We start from the raw sequence: 19,940 nt of genomic DNA, 5'->3' as shown, positions 1-19,940 counted from the left end.
TACCAGCATGGAAAATGTCAAGGCTGAACTTTTCGCCGGGAAAAATAAAACGTTAACAACATTGTTTTGTTAAAAAGAAAGGCTTTAAGTTTTCATTTTTTGGGCAGGGAAGCAGGGGGCACCTGAAACTGGATAAGGTGACCCGTTCTTTTATTTTTGGTTGATCTCAGGTCCCAGAGGGTTTTGTTGATTTTTTCCTCCAACTGCAGCTTGTGTTGTACCCTTGTATGCATAGAGCCCTTAGGCATGGGTTCAGTTCTGCTTTTGCTCAGATTGCAAAAGGTTAAGTTATGAGGAGGCATTAGAGGAGAAAGCTTGCCAGGTAAGTGCTTTTTGCCTTGAATGTCTCTGTGGTAGACAGGAAAAAGAGCCTCTCAAAGATGTCCATGTACTAATTCCAGAAATCTGTGAATATTACTTACCTGGTAAAAGGGATTTTGCAGATGCGACTAGGTTAAGGCTCTTGCGATGTGGAGACGGTCCTGGATGATTCAGGTGGGCCTAACGTAATCCCTAGGGTCCTTATCAGGGGAGGAAGAAGGATCAGTCGGAAGAGAGATTAGAAGGTGCTATGCTGTTGAATTTGGAGATGGAGGAAGCGGCCACAGCCAAGGAGTGCAGGTGGCCTCCAGAAGTAGAAAAGGCAAGGAAATGAATTTTCCCAGAGAGCCTCATGAAGGAATGCAGTTCTGCCAACACCTTGATTTCAGCACAGTCAGAGTGATTTTGAACTTCTGACCTCCAGAACTTTAAGAGAATAAATTTATGTTGTTTTAAACCACTAAGTTTGTGGCACTGTGTTACAGCAGCAATAGGAAACTAATACAGTCTTGTTCAGGATTGTAATTGTTTTTTCTTGGCACATTCTGACACTTAGCATCTGCCCATGGGCTTTGAAAAAAATCGTACCAAAGATATCACTTGGGTCTGTCTCTATGTCATCATTTCATTCATTTACTCAAAAATATCAATGTAGCGTGGTGATGAGGAGTCAGACTTAAGATCTGGATTGGAACCCTGGCTCTGCCATTCACCAGCTCTGTGTTCTTGGGCAAGCTACCTGGGTTTCAGTTTTCCCATCTTCAAAATAAAATAGCAGTCAGCAAACTATGGGCTTTAAGTCAAACATATTCTGCTGCCTGTTTTTGCAAATAAAGTTTAATTGGAACGCAGCCATGTCATTTATTTGCATGTTATCTATGGATGCTTTTGCACTATAAGAGCAGAGTTATGTAGTTGTGACACAGACTTTGGTCCTCAAAGTCTAAAATATTCACTATCTTTCCCTTTACACAAGTAGTCTGTAGACCCCTGAAATAGGATAATAACCTACTTCATGGCACTAAATTTGGTCTTTTTTTTTTTTTTTTGAGACGGAGTCTCGCTCTGTCACCCAGGTTGGAGTGCAGTGGCGTGATCTCGGCTCACTGCAACCTTCGTCTCCCGGGTTCAAGCGATTCTCCTGCCTCAGCCTCCCAAGTAGCTGGGATTACAGGCATGAACCACCATGCCTGGCTAATTTTTGTATTTTTAGTAGAGACGGGGTTTCACCATGTTGGTCAGGCTGGTCTTGAACTCCTGACCTCATGATCCACCCACCTTGGCCTCCCAAAGTGCTGGGATTACAGGCGTGAGCCACTGTGCCCGGCCTAAAATTTTTTTTAAGAGACAGGGTCTTGCTATGTTTTCCAGGCTAAATTTGAGCTCTCAGGATTAAGCGATCCTCCAGCATCAGCTTCACCAGTAGCTGGGACTACAAGTGTACGCTACCATGCCCAGCTTCATGGCATTTTTATGAATATAAGCAAAGTGCTCAGATGTGAGATTGGCACATAGCAGGGACTTAATAAATGTTAGTTATTATTGTCATCATTAGTATGTAATTTGTTATTATCATTACGATTAGTCAATTAATCACCAACTATATACCAGGCACTGTGGGCCCCATTACCTCTGCTGTCACTTCTAGGAGACCCCTGGCCTCTCATTGAGCCTAAACTGCAGATCTTCCCCTGGAGCCTCTCTGCTTATACCAATGCCCACTTCTGGATTTGGTCCAGGCCAGGGAAAACTCTTCCTCCTTATGGGGGAAAGACTGACAAACTCACTGAAGGTATGAGGGTACTCTGAATGTAGTCCTCAAACAGCTGCCCATGCGTTCTGTAGCTGCATTCATTGGGAGAGATAGGAGAAGTGTGCTTACTCCATCTTACCTGGAACTGGAACCTCTCAATGTGTTTAAATATTATAAATTTCAAGGAAGGATGCTAATTACTGTGAAAAAAATGTGATTTGGTCTTTGCCTTAAATAAGCTTGGTAGAAAGTATGAGAGGTCAGGATGATCCCCGCACATCAGGATTTGATTTTGTTTCCTCTGTATATGTTGGAGCGGGCAAATGGTAGACTAACACTCCAGGCATATTGGGATCTCAGTGAAATGGCGCTGGCAGGGAGGAGCTTGAAGCAGGAGCGGAAGAGGATGGGGGCTACAGATCTGACAGAGAAGTTTTTTTGGGGAAGTCGGGGAGCACATTAAGGAGAGTTTGGGGGATTTAGTCTCAGATCTAAAGATGGTGTCCTGGAATCTTGAGTAACAAGTATGTGTCAGCCCAGGAGAAATTCATGAAATGATGTAACGTTTGGGCATCAGGCAGACTGTGTGGTATGGTTCTGAGAGATCTGTTTATCGGATCCAGCATGCCACGTAGGGAGCAGGATCTGATCCCCAAGAGAGTTGGGATTCAGAGTTATGCCCCCATGCTAGAATGGAGTGGAGTATAAGACAGAGCAAGAAGGGGCACCAAGAGGAGAGGAGTTTGGTTAAGAAGTCCAGGCTTGGCCAGGCGCAGTGGCTCACGCCTGTAATCCCAGCACTTTGGGAGGCCAAGGTGGGTACATCACTTGAGGTCAGGAGTTCAAGACCAGCCTGGCCAACATGGTGAAACCCCATCTCTACTAAAAATACAAAAAATTAGCTGTGCATGGTGGTAGCCACCTGTAATCCTAGCTACTTGGGAGGCTGAGGCAGGAGAATTGCTTGAACCCGGGAGACAGAGGTGGCAGTGAACCGAGATCGCGCCACTGCACTCCAGCCTGGGCGACAGAGAAAGACTCCATCAAAAAAAAAAAAAAAAAAGTAAGTCTTTTAAGTAAACTTTCCCTGGTGGTAGAGAATCCTGCAAGTTGGGCAGCTATGTAAATAACATGGAATATCTCAGACCGGTTAGCAGAAAGGAGGATAGGCTGAGGAGACCTGAGGTCCCACACAACTCCGACTGGACCATCTGTTTCAGAAAAAGGAAATCTGCACTTTTAGATGGTTCTGATGTGGCTGATCTACAGGTTATACAATGAATTTTCCCTCTCTGTCAGGGTTGGCTGATCCGTCTGAACCACAGGAGAGGATGAGCACATGACTGTGAACGGATGAGAAAAAAGGTGGCAAAGGAGTGATTATGTGTCTTCTCAAGGATGTTGACATTTGGAACCTGATTTCCCCCTTCCACACATTTCTTCCCCAGGAGCATGCATTTCCCAAGCAATTTCCCAAAATATTGCTTATTAACCATGGGGTAAGTACTCAACACCCTCCAAAGCAGAGTTCTTCAGTAAAAAGCTGTATTTTCAAATGTGGGAGGCCCCAACAAGGCGTTTGATTCATTTCTGCTGGAAAATAGAATGGATAGAATGGAGAAATCTTTGACTATTTGGAATAGAAAAGAACAGATCTGAGTGAGACCTTGTCCTGCATGCCCCAGAGGCAAACCATACAGGCTAGTTCATACCAAGGGACAGCAAGGGCAGAAGGAAGCAGGGCATGGCCCTATGTCTTTGATAGGGCACAGTAAGCCTGCCCAGTAGCAAAACACAGCCCAGTCAGTATTTAGTCTCTAATCAGATTAACAATACTCCTTCCTTTTGGGGAGGAGCTTATAATATACTAAAGAGAAGAATAAGAAATGTGATTGGACACTTCTTCAACTATGGGAGAATTTGCCTTCCCCAAAGGGAAGAAAGTGATTTTTGTATATTTGAATGGAGGAACTCGAAAGGATATTAAGCCATGTTAATACATTATGGCTTTATAGCAGTAAACACACAGATGAATGTCTTGTCTTCCAGGCACCTTTGAACAGAACCCAAGAACTTCATATCTAATACCTGTGCTTGCTACAGGAAATTTTTAAAGTGAGTAAGAGAATGACAAGACACATTCTTTGATCAGCTTGCTTAAAGCCCTCAAGTAGCCTTAGGTGTCCCCTGTAGGTTTCCTCAGAGGCAGCTGTGAAACCCTCAAGCTTTTCTGCCCGCCCCTGCCAAATCTGGAAGAATCTGAGCAAAAAAATAAATAATAATAGTAATGAATTATAGCCTATAAAATAAAATAATTATCCAAGAGTCCACATTGGTGTAAATAAATAACTGAATAAAGAATAAATGGGAGAGAAGGGGCCATTCGGCCTTACAGTAGAATATCAATAAAACATGTAGAAAGAATGATGGAAACAGAAAAGTTACTCTTTGGCAAATACCACTGTAATAATTGTTTTAGGTGGGTACTATCAATGGATGCTAACAGTAGGTGAAGGTATCATGAGAAACAGTTATTAGTATAATTTTTAAATATATACCCTTTCAAGATATTCATAATTACAAAGGGAAAACAGTCATTTTTTAGCGAGAAATCCAGCAGGTATCTTCTTAATCAATCAAGTGACCAAAGTTTACATCACCATAGTAAGACATATTGGAATTATCTGTCTCCTGGTGTGATGCCTGAAGGTTTTACTTCTGTAATGTTCTTACCAGAAAGCATAACCTCAACCTAATAGTTAGAAAATCCAGACTGAGGGACATTTTACAAAATATTGGCTTATAGTCTTCTTAAAAGACTGAATAACTGTTCCAAATTGGAAAGACTAGGAGATGTGGCAATTCAATGCAATGTAGGATCCTGGATTGAATCCTGGACCAGAAAAGAAACAAGTGATGAAATTCAAATAAGGTCTAAAAATTAGTTAATTTCATAGTATGAAATTAAATTTTCTGGTTTTAATAACTGCACTATGGTGATGTAAGATGTTAACATTAGAGGAAACCAGATGAGGGCATATGGAACTCCAGATAGTATTTCTGCAACTTTTTTGTAAGTCTCAAATGGCTTCTGAATAAAATGTTAGGAAAGAAGAGAAGAGCCCTTCTGAATTCCGTGAAGGTATTCCTTCATCTTCAGATTTCTGTAATGAGCTAAGGCAGAAATTATGCAGAATATAAAAACGTGGCATATGGCATTAAATATTTGTAGTATATATTAGGTATATAATTCTTAATCAACTAAATATAGTCTTTAGGTACACTTTAATAAAAAGTTGGACATTGAACATTTGATCAGGAATTTAATGCCCTAATAGGACTTTAAATCTGTGGAAAAATAATTTTTAACTTACATAATTTTGATATATGGTAACTTTTCTAGAAAAGCAATTCTCCACAAAAGTGAGAATGGACCACAAACGAATCACACTTACCAGAGAGACTGAATAGATTGATAGAATCTGACATTCAGGTAGGTGTTCTTACTATTTTGCTTTTTTTCCTGATTATAAGTTATCATTGATTTAAATGGATACATTTAATTGTTGCTAAAATGTAGCCATCATAATGAAGGGCTTTTTGGCGTATATCATTATTCAAGAATACACTGATTAAAAATAATAGAAAAGAAAGACATGGCCTAATTCAATTCTAGATTCTGAGAATAGCTTTCAATCCTAAAGTCTGAGAATCAACGGGGATACTCTTTGGGCAAATTCATTACCTGGAAGGACACTTTTGTTCATTCAGAAGCCTGTATGAGAATGTTTCCTACATTCTGACAAAGATTTTTCAGAAAATTATAGCAGCTTTACATCTACGATAATACCAACTGGTTCATGCATCAGAACCAATTATAATTTTCCAAGTGGTCACCTGTGCTATTAGTCCAGGATCTAATCATTCTGAGAACAACTGTTGCCTAGCAATATTTTGGTTCATTAGTTTATGAACAGAAATATTGCTATTCATTCAACTGCGGTTTCCCAATGATCTGTGTAACTTTAATAATGCTTCACTAAAAATTATGTGGCAGAATAGTATTTAATGACACAGAAGGAAAAATGTTCATGATATTTTTTAAGTGAAAAAAATGCCTTACAACATGATAATGTGTGGTCCCTGTCTTAGGATTGTACATCTTATTATATTGAGTAATTACAGATTTTTATTTCCTCTTTTTTGTTGTTTCTCTTCATTTATAATATTTTTATCCAATTAATATGTATTTACTTTATTAAAACTTTTCAAAAATAAAAGTGAAATAGGTAGTTATTATAGGCTGCTCAAACAACTAAAACTCCAGAGTGTAGTGGTGTAAAGAACCAGAGATTTAGTTCTTACTCACTTAACAGAAAACAGTGTAGGTTCCAGGTTGGTTGGTAGTGGCTCTATTCCATGCAGTCATTCAGGGACCTAGGCTAACAAAGGACTTGCCATATTGAACAAGTAGCTCCCAAGTCACCATGGTAATCTTCATTCCCACTAGCAGAAATGAAGAAAGATCATAGAATAACATGCATGGCAGGTATTTTAGATTCAGGCCTGGAAGCGGTGCATACAACTCATACTTCACTGGCAAGAACTCAATATTGCCACAGTTAATGGCACATCATCATTATTAACCTATGGAGTAATACCATTGTTCCCAGCTATTCATTCAGGCTAAACAAATGATTGAAATATATATTTTATTTTTAATTCTTAGACTATTTTTTAGTTCACTCTTGGCGCTTCTAAGGGAAGTCTATCAGCTTTCCTGTCAAGCATTTTTTCTCCATAAAGAGCAGGGAATTGAAAATTTCCTTTCCCCAAAGATCCAGGACTTAGCCTGTTTTTGTGTGTGTGTGTGTGTGTGTGTTTTTTAGCTTTGTAACAATCATATTGATTCACTTTGTTATTATGCTCTAACTAAGTTTCATTTCTAAGCAAGTGGCACCTATTATTTATAGGTCAGGAAAAGAGTTAACATTCAATCTTGTCTCCTGGGTGAAGCTAATGAATTGCAAGATTAGTTCACGGTGAATAAATTAGTTTTGAAACCATGGAATTCAGAAGTTGGTATTTTCTTTCTTTAAATCCCAGATTGCTACCTGTGACTCCCTGCTGTTTGCCTTTTGATTTTATAGATCATATGAAATAAGCTCTTTGCATCCTCTTCTTCACCCTTTTTCTTTCTATCTTTTGTTAACTAAAGGAGTAACTTGTTAAATAGTGGGTACAGTCCAAAGAATTATGTGATACTTGTTTCCTCTGGTGATGGTGACAACACATGTCTTCTCATCACAAGTCCTTAAACAACAGCTCCCTCCCATTCAATGTGAAATATTCTGATGACGAAAGTGTTTCCTGCATTCTGACTATATTATTCTGATAACATAGCGGGAGCAGGCTAAGAAACTTGAAGTTCTATATCAAGAGAGTAGGAGTGATGGGTGAATAACTTTGAAGTTTTAAGGTTTAAGGTTAAGAAAAATGAAAGATTATGAGCCAGTTTTGAAAGCTAATTAGCATCTCAGAGGAACGAGGTAAGAAAGGAAACCAGAGTCTGAAATGTATGGCTTAAACAGAAAAGTTGGCAAGGGTGGGTAATCCAACATTCCAGAGCCTATCAAATCTCACTGTCCTCAACATGTCTGTTATTCACATATTCTCTTTCTCTTCCCCTACTTTCCTTCCCCCTTCTCTGATTTTCACTTTCCTATCTGTTCTTCTTTATCATCTGTTTTTTTTTTTCTTGTACCGCCCTTAACTATTTATATACCTTTCCCACTCCATGAGATGGCCACATATTCTAAAATATATACGTTTATTCACAAATATTTTAAGCACCAAATGTCAGTCCCAGTGTTAGGTCCTGGGTATGTAAGGATGAACAAGAGGCTCATAGTCTATTTGGTGAGACACTTCCACTCTTTGGGAGTATGAAAGGTAGAAAAGATAATTTTGCTAGGGAGAGTCAGGGATGATATCCCAAGAAGGGAGCCCTGGGCTTGAGTCTTCAAAGGTAAGTAGGATTTGCCACGTAGAGAAGGAGGAAAGAGGCTTTTGGGCAGAGGAAAGAGCATGTAAACTTATTTTTTTCTTTAAAAAACAAAGATTTCTTGATACTAAATGAACATGAATTATCAACTAGAATGTTTCTTCTTCCTTACGTATCATGAGATACGCTAAACTGACTAAGATATCAACATAAGCTTTTTCTAGCCAGAATCCAGTTAGCTAAAATTCCCATTATTTGAGAACATAGCCGAGCACCAGGTAATAATCTATCAAAGGTCTCTGAGTAAAAAGTTTTGTTGCAAAGTTCCTTTGCTTATTGAAGACCCGTTCAGCCTCTCAGTCAGAGCCTCTTTATGTGTACTATAGACATCATTCTAGCAAAGCAAATTGAAGGCAACCATGGAGCACAGCAGTAGGGAAGACTTGAGAATTTGGAGCTATTTCAGACAGGCTTGCTTGGGGTAGTTAAGAAGTAATGGCTAGAATCCTAAGGGTGTGGAAGGCATCAGAAAAACTACAAGTGGGCTTAGAAGCTCCAGTCATAGCAGCCTGGGAACATTGAGAGAAAAGGCAAAGAGGTTGGTACATTTTGGTCATCTCCACAGAGTAAACTAATTGCACTGATGTCCACAATGATGAGAATGGGTCATTTGCAAAGGAGATTAAATTCAGTTCCGTGTGTTCTGTCTTAGAGGGCAGTTTATAATTAATTTTAGAAAGATTGCCACCTAAAGTAGTTGCAATTTTCTTTTGGAAGGTACTACTATAACCCAAAATAGTCTGCTATCCAGCTCTGTTAATTCCTTGCAAGGTTTTATGGTTTTACTAAATGTCACTTAAAAATTACTACTTACATTTTGGCCTTTTTTAAAACTTAAAAAAAAAAAAAATCCAACACTCTTTTAACTGCCTTTACTTCTTAACACAAGCAGTTAGCTGGCAGGACCAGGAAAAGATACAGACACTCAAACCTTGTTCCTGCCCATCTGAGCCATTGCCAAGCCTGGGGCAGTTGTGAACACAGCGGTGAGCTAGGTATGCTGCCTAGGAGTTGGACATTGTTCAAGGGGACGGATCCCATTAAACCAGACAGTTCTACCTTTAACTTCAAATAAAAATTTAAAGCATTTTCAAAGCCCTGTTTACTCTGCCCCCAACTACCATTTGCTTATATAAAAGAATCATTGCTAATGTGAAATATCACACTGGCAAGCAGCATCTTAAATCAGAGTGAGTCACTGAAGCCTTGGCATGGCCAACTGAACAAGTCGTAGTAAAACCTGATTTTTACAGAGTTACATTTTACAAAATGCTTTCAGTTGGGTAATGCCAAGTGGGTGTATGAAAACCTTGCTGATGGGAGAGTAGATTGGTAAAGACTGTTCTGGTGGAGCAGAGGTTCTCAACAGTGGGTGCCTATTAGGATTTTCCGGAGCTTTTAAGATCCTGTTGCTCAAGCCACACTCAGACCAATTACATCAGAATCCCTGGGAGTTGACCCCAGGCAGCAGTATTTTTTTAAAGCTCCCCAAATGATTCCAATATGCAAAGTTGATCACTATTGCTGAAGGGAAGCTGGCAGTACTTACTCCAATTAGGTAGCATGTCCTTTGCCTAGGATGACTCAGCAGTGAGTGTTATTAACTATTCATGGACCATCCTGGGTAAGCTGGGGTGTATGAGCCCCCTACCTAAAATGCAGATGCTATGTTCCCAGGTGTATCTCAGAGAAATTTTTACATAAGTTCATCAAGAAACATGAATAGGAATACTCTCTGTGGCAATATTTTTGATAAATTGCAAGGCACCTAGCACTTAATGATGGGTAAGATGAATCAAATACATACAAAACAATATGGATTGATGTTAAAACAGGGTGCTAAGTGAGAAAAAGTAGGAAATAGAATGCAATATTTAGCACACTACCACTTGAGTAAATTAAAAATACATGAATACAAAACAAATACAGATTTTTTAAGGAGGTACAAAAAATATGGGGGCAAAGAGAGGAGGAAGAATAGGAAATGGGGATACATGAGAATTAATACATAATTAATAAATATGAGAATGGCCTGGCAGCAACCAATGATAATAGCATGCCATGGACTAAGAAATGTGATGAGGTCAACACCTCTGCCCCTACAGTCTAGAACAACACCCCCTTGCCCCGTATAACAAAGGTCTGAAGAATGCTCATTTAACAAACATCCCCCAAGTTGCAGGCAACTCAAAGGGCACATGAACCCCGCCCCCACCCCACCTAGAGTCATAGATGACAAAAGTTCACACTTGGGCTAGTTCACCTAGACTCTATGCTTCATCTTGGCTCCCCAGCACTCAAAGAGGTGCTTCTATGTCTATTTCACAAGGAAGAAACTGAGATCCAAAAAGTTTAAACAATTTGGTCAAAATAACAGAGCTAGGAAGCAGTACAGCTGACTCTAGCCGGTGACTTCCACCCTCAGGCCTATGGAATTTCCCTGCCATTTTCATTGTTGATTACACCTTTGTCACCTCTTTCTTGGTGGTCCTCCATTGCTCAGTGTCTTACCTTGACTAATTTAGGGCCACATAACAAATATTTACTTAGTACTTTTTGGTAGAAACATGCTAGGAAATTGAGGGCAGGGATGTGAAAGGCATTTTCTTGTCCCTCAAAGAATTTGGTGGGGAGAAAGGGGCATTCATGAGAATTCAGTATAGAGTATAATATGAAGAGTGATATAAGCTACAAACAAAGTGCTATTGGGATAATTGGTGGAGTGAGATTATTTTCAACCAGGCAGCCAGTGGTTTAGGAGTTGGGTCAGGGAAGATTTTGTAAAGATAGAATATCGAAGGTGGGATTTGAGGATAAGTGTGGTCTCCACAGGGAAAGACGGCAAGGAAGGCTCTTCTGGGTAGAGAGGACAGTGACAGTGAAAGCATAGGGTGCAGAAAGCACAGGGTAGGTTTTAAGGATCTGGTTTTGAAGTACACAAGCATTAAGAGGCATGTCGTTGAGAAGAACATCTGGACGGGCAGATGGGGGCAAGGCCACTGAGGCTCTTTAGCACTGTGTTTAGGGCTTCAAGTGTGGGCAGTGAGGTCTGAGGGATAACCAACTTGTCGCTCCTGAATTAGATCCTGTGTTGCAGCCTAAAGCAGAAAAGCATCTGGTAATTCTTTCCACGTGGAAGAAGAGAGGAGAGCCAGGAGTCAGAGGCCCTGCAGCAAATTCCCTCCTGTCTCTGGAGGTGACGGGCCAGGACCTGCGGCTGTAGGCCCTGGTGGTCTCAGTGACCCAGCATGGCCTGTGCTCGGCTGCCATGATGCCCCTTCTCTATCACAATCTTCCCTCCTGCTCCATGGGACATGTTACCTTCATTCTTGAGCCTTGGTGGCACTGGCCACCTGAACCACTCCTTTGGGGTATTTTGCTTAATGAATGAATGTTTCCAGCCCCCTGACCTAGGCTATAGATATCTAGAAGGCATGAATCAGTTCTTACTCTCCTTTTGTTTACTCTCCTGTACAGTGATAGACACACAGTAAGCTTGCAAGGAAAAAGCCTTCCTTGTTAATTATACCAGCCTACTTTCTTCTCCACAAAATGGCTGAAGGAAGAATATTAATACAGCAAGCTACTTAATCCTTTAAAGATTCCTAAGAAGAAAGCGCTAAGTACTCAAATACTTAGATGTTTTCTTGAAATTAGCGTAATTGGTTACATGAGTATTTTTAGCCGCTAACAAGGTACAGAAATCTCCAGAGTGCTAGCGGCTGCTTACACCCACTTCTTGGCCAATATTTTACCAAGCCCTGAGTCATAGCCCTGAAATCAATTCTGTCCTTTACTGCAAAATCATTACAGGGCCGGGGAAAATGATCCTTGTTGTTTAACCAGTGGGGGTGCTGGAAAATCAGGGGACATTGATACTGAGCTTCTGTGATAAGGGTTTGAATGGAGTACGCCAAACAGAGATGTGGAGAACATGATCATGTTCAATTCCAGCCTGGCTCAGAAATAAACTCAAGGGGAAGGATGCTGTCCATAATTCACAGACTTATATGCACTCTCTATAATTCACAGACTCACAAAATTTTTGCACATTCAATTTCTCACAGAGTCTTTTCAATCTTTCTTCCAAAATGAACATTCTAAAGATAAAACATTTATGATATAAGAAACTGAATCTGGGTATAAAATGACGTTAATCTATTGCCAAGTTTTTTGTGCCATCCTCCTTTCTTGAAAAAAAAAAGTCTGAGTTCAAGAAAATGATGACAGAGAAAATATTTGTCATGCAATTAGAAAACGCGCAGAACAGAGGCGACTCCAGTGGGAAGATGTCGCTATTCTCCTTGCCATATCACATATTCCAAAAAATGTTAAGATTGTGGCAACCAGAAAGAAGGGAATTCAACAATTGTAGGGTGGAAATGGGTCTTTTCTTCCCCCCTACACACCTTAAAAGTGGTGCCTTTAGTGGAGGCTCCAACGAAAGGCTCACTTCCCTGCTCATTTGTATATCCTCAGGCTTGGTCATGAATTCCCAGGTCTGGTCTGGTATGTCTGAGCCAACACTGCATGACCCAAAACCTGATGGTTTAAATAAGAAGCTGCTTCTGGCTTTTTTGTTTATGGACAGTCTGGGGGCGCTGGAATACCCAGAACCTCTGTGCCCATGACTCCTTCAGGCTTACAGGATTCCCATGCCACTTTCATTGTGAATTACTGAGTCCAGAGCCTGCTTTATCACCTCTTTCTGGATTGTTCCCCATGGTTCGGTCTCTTGCCTTGACTAATTTAGGGCCATCAAAAAATATTCATCTAGTACTCTATGGGACACACATGCTAGGGAGCTAGGGACTATGGAGGAACAGAGGTCAATCATGGCCCCTGGATATGTTGAGGAGGGAGAGAAGAATGTTCACAAATAATTCAGTACAAGGACCTCTGTAACTCACGTTCCTACCATATGTATCTTCTCTTGCTGGCCAGTACCTTAGTAGGTATCCAGGAGGGAAAATTTGGCCCAAGAGGGATACTTTGTTAAATGAGCTTGTGCATGAAGCACATGGAGAGTGACACAGAGTAAGGTGGCCCAGCAGCTTGTTTATGTCCCCTGCTGGACTGTGAGCTCCTTGTTTTGCTTATCTTTTTTGACCCAGCTCTGCAGACAGTGACTGCGTATAATGGTCACTCAGTAACAAGAGTTGCACATTGATGATGATGAGGATGATAATAATAATAATAGCCATTTAATGAAAATTTACTATGTGTTGAGAGCTTTGCATACATTGTTTCAGTAAGTTACTTTCACAACTATCTGAGGTGGATACCCTTACTTTCATTTTTCAGATGAGTCTCTGAGGAGGCAGGCACACAACAGAGTATATGAATAGTATGTTCTCCATAAATACCTGTTAGTTGCTGGTTGTGATTATTGTGTAAATGTTAAGAAACTTGCCCAAGGTCATACAGACTCTAACCAGGAGAATGGGATTTGAACCCACCTGCACTGGAGGCTAAAGTCCATGTTCATGAAAGGTCTCAAGAAAGGACAGACCATGCAGTTGTTCTATCCAAAGTGCTCAAGTGGACAATGCTATCGAAGGGTCAATTTCCTCCCCTATTGCTACATGTTAACAGAAGAACAATGGCTGAGACAGTCCCCAGACATTTATTGCACATTATGGACAAACCAAGGGCTTGCTTTACAGAATAAAAAAACATTTTTTCTATGTTATTTCATCCATCCATCCATCCATCCATCCACCCATCAATCCATCTGTCCGTCTATCCATCCATTTAGCAAAATTCACTGGGCACCTACTATGTGCTAGGAGGCTCTGAGGTAGGCACTAGAGCGAGAACAAAATGTTAGACATGGTTTTTTGTTCTGAGAAATTGAGAAATTTCCTTTCTTGCAAAGGAGACAGAGGCATGAATCAACAATTTTATTTCAAAGCCCTAACAAGACTATTGATTAGTACTGTCTAATTAAGAAGTTATGAGGACACAGTACTCTTAAAACATGTGGGATGCTAATTATGAGACTGTTTACAAAAGTCTTTAAAAATGGTTTCAGATGTAAGGAGGTGATAAGTTTATATTTTAACAAGAAATGTTTTTGCTATGGCATTTCCTAAGATGATGGTATCACTGTTGCTGTTTAGTTCCTCACAATGTTTTTGGTTTGGAGAAAGAATTTTATGGGAACCCAATATTCTACCTCGACACTTACTATTTAAAATTTCTTGTTGTCATTCCCTTCCAAATACTATCTCTCAGCACATTTATTCCTTCAGATATCTTACACTCAGCGTTTTAGAGACAGCTTCCTTTTCAGCTTGGATCTTGGCACCTTGGAAAGAGTGGCTTGATCAAGAAAAACGCTACATTCCTTTCTCCTATTTTGAAATGCCTTTGACTGCCCTCTTAATAATACTTCACATTTATCTTAGCACTTAAGAGTTTTCAGAGTGCCTTCCTATACATTATCTTAATTAATTCTCTTAATTACCTGATAAGATAGGTCAGAAAGTATTCTTGTTGTCATTTTTATTAGTTCTACTAAAGTAATACATGTGGACAGACAAAAAATCCCATAATAAGAAGTTTACAAAATTAAAAAGAAAAGTTTACTGTTTCCTCACTCCTCTCTATAACACCCTTCAGAGGTAGTCATTTTCAACTGTTTCTAACTTTACCTCTTTTGGCATTTATCTCCATAACATCAAATAATATCATTATGTGTCCATTTCTTGATTTATCAGCCTCAGGTAGAATCTATTGATTCCTTTCCATGAAAGATGAGAAATGTAGCTTATTTATATTATCTTTCTCTCTCCTTCTAATTTTTGTTTCTATATATTTATTTTATAGTTCTTTCATTAGAAATCTTTATAATATTAAGTAACATAGAACTTAAATCTGTATTTCTTGATGTCTCAACTTTAGAAAATACATATATTAACTCCATTTATGGAAGATGAATAATTTTTATTCTTATACTTTCCTCCATCTCATATCTCCCCTTTTTATTTCCAACTTCTTTCAACTCTACCATTACTTTGATATTGTTAAGGTTTTTAAATTTTGCCTTCTGTCCTATAACTATGATTAAGTCTTACATGCTCTTTTTACAAGTTGATTTTACAAACTTAAAACATGCTTATGTTAATGTGATTATGAAATTATTATTTACTATAAGTCTAATTAGTGATTCATGGAGGAAATGTATGTTATAACTGAACCTATGAAATTCAAAGGAGAATATTTTAATCATCAAAATCAAATGAGATAAACTTTCTCATGTAATATTGATTGTTCAAAATTATGCTACAATTTGCCTCACATTTGGACCTCTGGATTTCTGATATAGCTTTTTGTTTTACCTGGTATTTTAAATTGCCTGGCTTTTCTTTGTTGTTGTAATGAATGCTGTTGTTTCACTTTGCAGGCACGCCTCACTGCAGTTAAATGTTGGCATCTGATAGCTTACAGCTGACTAGTTTTCCAAAGAATTACCTTTGGGCTAATGGAAACTGCCTCACTAGGGAAGTTACTCCCTCCCATACAAGCCTGCTGCTGGCTGACTGACTGACATGTGGTGCAATAGAGCAGCTTGCCTCAAGATGGGACCTTTTCTCTGGAGCAATTTGTGATCCCTAGTGCCCTGTGGAGTCAGAGTACAGCTAATATTCAGTTGAGCCACATTCCTGCTTAGCATTTTCCCTGTTCTTTATTGTTTCCATCATCCCCCTTTTTTCAAAGAGCACTTCCTCAATAAATCACTTGTAAAAGAATCCTCTTCTTGAACTCTGCTAGGGAACCCAACATAAGATACTTGTTGATAAATAGAATATCATGTCTTCATCAAAACACTAATGATTATATTAAATATTTGTGTATTACATTTAATCATATACAGAGATATATTTAATAAAGTGTTATTAGTATTAGTACATATTAGTACATACATATTAGTATTTATGTATATAGATATATATATTAACCTTTCTGTGTTTTTAAAAGGAATATTCTATCTTCTTGAATGCATTTTTTATTGTTTTTAGAATCCTCTGATTTCCTGATGAATTTTGTATCAATTGCTCCTTAGGTATACTATGCATCTAAAATATTGAGATTTCCTTGATTACCTCACTCTTGGGTTAGATTGACAAACATATTCTATATCTTCCTCTTTCTTGGGTTCCTTTTTGTGTTAACAACATGTAAGTGAAATTTCAAGCAATTTTCACAAAAATTGTGAAATTGGGGCAGATTTTTTGAGTCATAATGTGTCTGAAAATCTGTTTACAGTAACTTTATGATATAACTTGGCCAAACATATAATTGTAGCCTCAAAATAATTTACCCTCATTCCTCAAAAGCAATTCCCTATTGTATTTTAGTTTCTAAGATTGCTGATGGCAAATCCAATGTCAGTCTGATGCTTTTGAGAGGTGAAATAATCAGATTCTTTTGAGCAGTGAGGTAAATAGGGAATCTATTATTTTTCCCTAGAAGCTTTTAGCTTTTTTTACTTTGGGGTGTTTTGAAATTTCATCCATAGGGGCACTCAGTAACCTCTTTCAATCTGACAACTCCATGTTTTCTTCAGCTCTAGGACGTTTTCTTCAATTATATCTTTAATTGTTAAAGCTCCTGTGTTCTCCTTCCAGAATTCCTATTAGATATACAACATCTCTCCTAGATTTATCTTCCATATTCCTTAACTTTTTGTTCTCTTGGTTTTCTTTAAACATTTAAAAAAAATTATACTCTGCTTTCTGGAAGGTTTTTACAATTTTACCTCTATTTTGGTCCCTCTCTTTTGAGCCATTGAAGTATTTTTACACAAATGGAAGGAATCCTTGGCTTTCCATTTATATTTACGAATACAGTGCTAGATCATTATCTTGGGGAGCTAGTATGACTTTCCTCTGCCAACTCCATTTTTGCCAGGTTCTTTGGGCATGTGGGGTTCATAAAGAGGGAGAAAATCTGGTATAGTTATTTCAATAGAGGATGTTTAATTAATTGTGCTTACTGTCATCCTCAGCCCACTACTGCTCTCGGAATATGCTATCTCTGGGCTTGGATCAATCCTGGGTCCCAGAGGGAAGAAAAATTCCAACTCCTATCTCTATTGCCATCGTCTGTAAGCATCCTGGGTTATGACTTTCTGCCTCAACAAGAACTCACTTTAACAACTTCAGTGCTCACTACTATTATGGATGTGTCCCCTGTCATACACCTTTATTGTTAACCCATGTGATGTTAGTCGGCTTTCCTGAACCAAAGCTCTATCACTGCCATTTTATAATTCCTGAAATTTGGGCACAGAGAAATTAAGTGCTTTGTCAAATGACTATTAAGTGGTGGAACTAGAATACTGGTTTTCTGCTTTCTAGTCTAGTGGTCTTACCATTTGTCCCCACTTCTTCATCACCTCATGTCCTCTCAGTTTTATCAGTGGAATTCAATACAGCTGAACAGAAATGTTTACAAGCAGAATTTTGAGCATGTACCTATGCTCATTAGAGTCAGATGTAAGGAAGGACAATGCATTTGTATTTGCACTGAATATTTTCCCTAACTCAATGTCACTTTTATCTTTGGTTTTCATGGAAATGTCAGAGGTAAAAATATTTTGAAACTTTTTAGTTTAAAACCTAGTATAAATCATTTTCAGGAAGAGCTTTAAAATAAATTGGTTGAGTGGAGAAAGCAGCACTTTATAAACATTGTCATTGTGACCTATGAACATCACATTTATTAGTTCCTAGTTTGGTTCCAATTTCTGAAACCTAGTGTTGGGTGGGATGAAGGAAAGACATATAAATGACTTCTTTCTGCTGTGGAGTCAAAACATGTACTTTCCTTAACCTCATTTACACCCACCTATATTTTCCCTCTCTTTGCCAGTTTTTGTACCCATTAATACTTTTTTGAAACAGAAGCTGAAGCCTGGAATTATGGCTGTTGTTATACACATAGGACTTGTTCAACAAAGTGGGTTAAAATTTCTCACTTTTATTTTCAGAAAACCATAGTTAATATTACCAGAAAGAAATAGGTATAAGGAAGGAGTTCCTTTTTACTTAGGAAATCTGAGGGCAGAGAATAACAATTCACCCACTGAATGAACAGATATCTATTAGGTAACTTTTACTATGTCCAGACATTGCTGGAAATTTGGAACAAAAGCTTAGACAAAATGATGAGCATATCAGATACAGCCTTTTTCTTCATGGAACATTTAATCTAGTGGGGGAGACAGACATGAATCAAGTAATAGAAATATATAGTAAAATACAGATGGTCCCCAATTTATGATGATTAAACTTATGAATTTTTTTACTTTAGGATGGTGCTAAAGTGATAGCCATTCAGTAGAAACTGTACTCAGAGTACCCATATAATAATTTTCTTTTTCAGTATCGGTACAGTATTCAACAACTTACATGAAATATTCAACACTTTATTTTAAAATTGGCTTTCTGTTAGAATATTTTGTAACATAATATACATTTTCTGAGTACCTTTAAGGTAGGCTAGGCAAAGCTATGATGTTCAATAAGTTAGATGTATTAAGTGCATTTTCAACTTATGGCATTTTCAATTTAGGATGGGTTTATTGGGACATAACCCCATTGTAAGTCTCTAGCTATCATCTGTAATTAACTGAGAGAATTGCCATGAAGGGAAAGTACACACACAGTATCATTGACAGCTGGGGGAATATAGGCATGGAAGGCTTTTCAAAAGGAGGAATATTTGAGATGTGTTCTGAAGGCTAGGAGAGCAGAGTGGAAGGAGAGAATTTTAGGCAGAGAGAACAGAAGGTATAAGTGTCCCATAGTAGGAATGGGCATGGTGCTGACTGAGAAAAAGCTGAGGATGGGCATAGTGGCTCATGTCTGTAATCCCAGTGCTTTGGGAGGCTTAGGCAGGAGGATCACCTGAGACCAGGAGTTCGAAACCAGCCTGCACAACATAGTGAGACCCCATCGCTACTGAAAATAATAAAAAATAGCTGGGCATGGCATTGCCTGAAGTCTTAGCTACTCAGGAGGCTGAGGTGAGATGATCACTTGAGCCCAGAAGTTTGAGGCTGCAATAAGCTATGCTCCCACCACCATACTTCAGACAGAGAAAGATGCTGTCTTTAAAAAAAATGCTGAAGAGGCTGAAGATGCAGGCAGAATCCAGTGTACCAAGGGCTTGAGGGTTTGGGCACTATGGGGAGGCACTGAAGGGGTGGCCCGACTTGAGTCATGTTCTAAAAACATGTATTGTATGGCACAAACTGGAGACGGGCAAAAGAGGACCCAGGAGGTCAGCCAGAAGGCCATGTTAGTAGCCTAGGTGAAAACAGTAGTGACTTGGACAAAAGTATTGTAAAGGAGATAAAGGAAAATGGATAGATTTAAGAAGCATTAAGGAAGTAGAATTTCCGGGGCAGGAGGTAGACTAACTTGGAGAGTGAGAGAGAAGGCATTTGGACAGGAAATTACATCTTCTCTCATAGGTGGCTGCACACTGGAGGAAACTTACCATTTCTGGGCGTATGTTACTTGAGATGGGTCTGAGAATGGGTCCTATCTTATCAGTTAGAGATGAGAAATGCTCTTTAAGGGGAAGGGAAAGATATTGGAATGAAAGAGAAAAGAGTAATATAATCCAAGGTACAACACAAGTGGAAGAGTAGGGTGAAAGGATTAGGGTAGGAGGGAAGACAGAAATGTGAGTGGTGAGGCAAGAAAGAGAGGTTGGGACTGGATTAAGTGTAAAGATAGGGGTAGGAAAGATAGATGTAGAGCTGTGAATTCATCTAAGAAGTTGATA

This window comes from Homo sapiens, chromosome 13 (genome assembly GCF_000001405.40).
Source record: "Homo sapiens chromosome 13, GRCh38.p14 Primary Assembly".
Lineage (NCBI taxonomy): Eukaryota > Metazoa > Chordata > Mammalia > Primates > Hominidae > Homo > Homo sapiens.
This window is presented reverse-complemented; position numbering follows the sequence as displayed.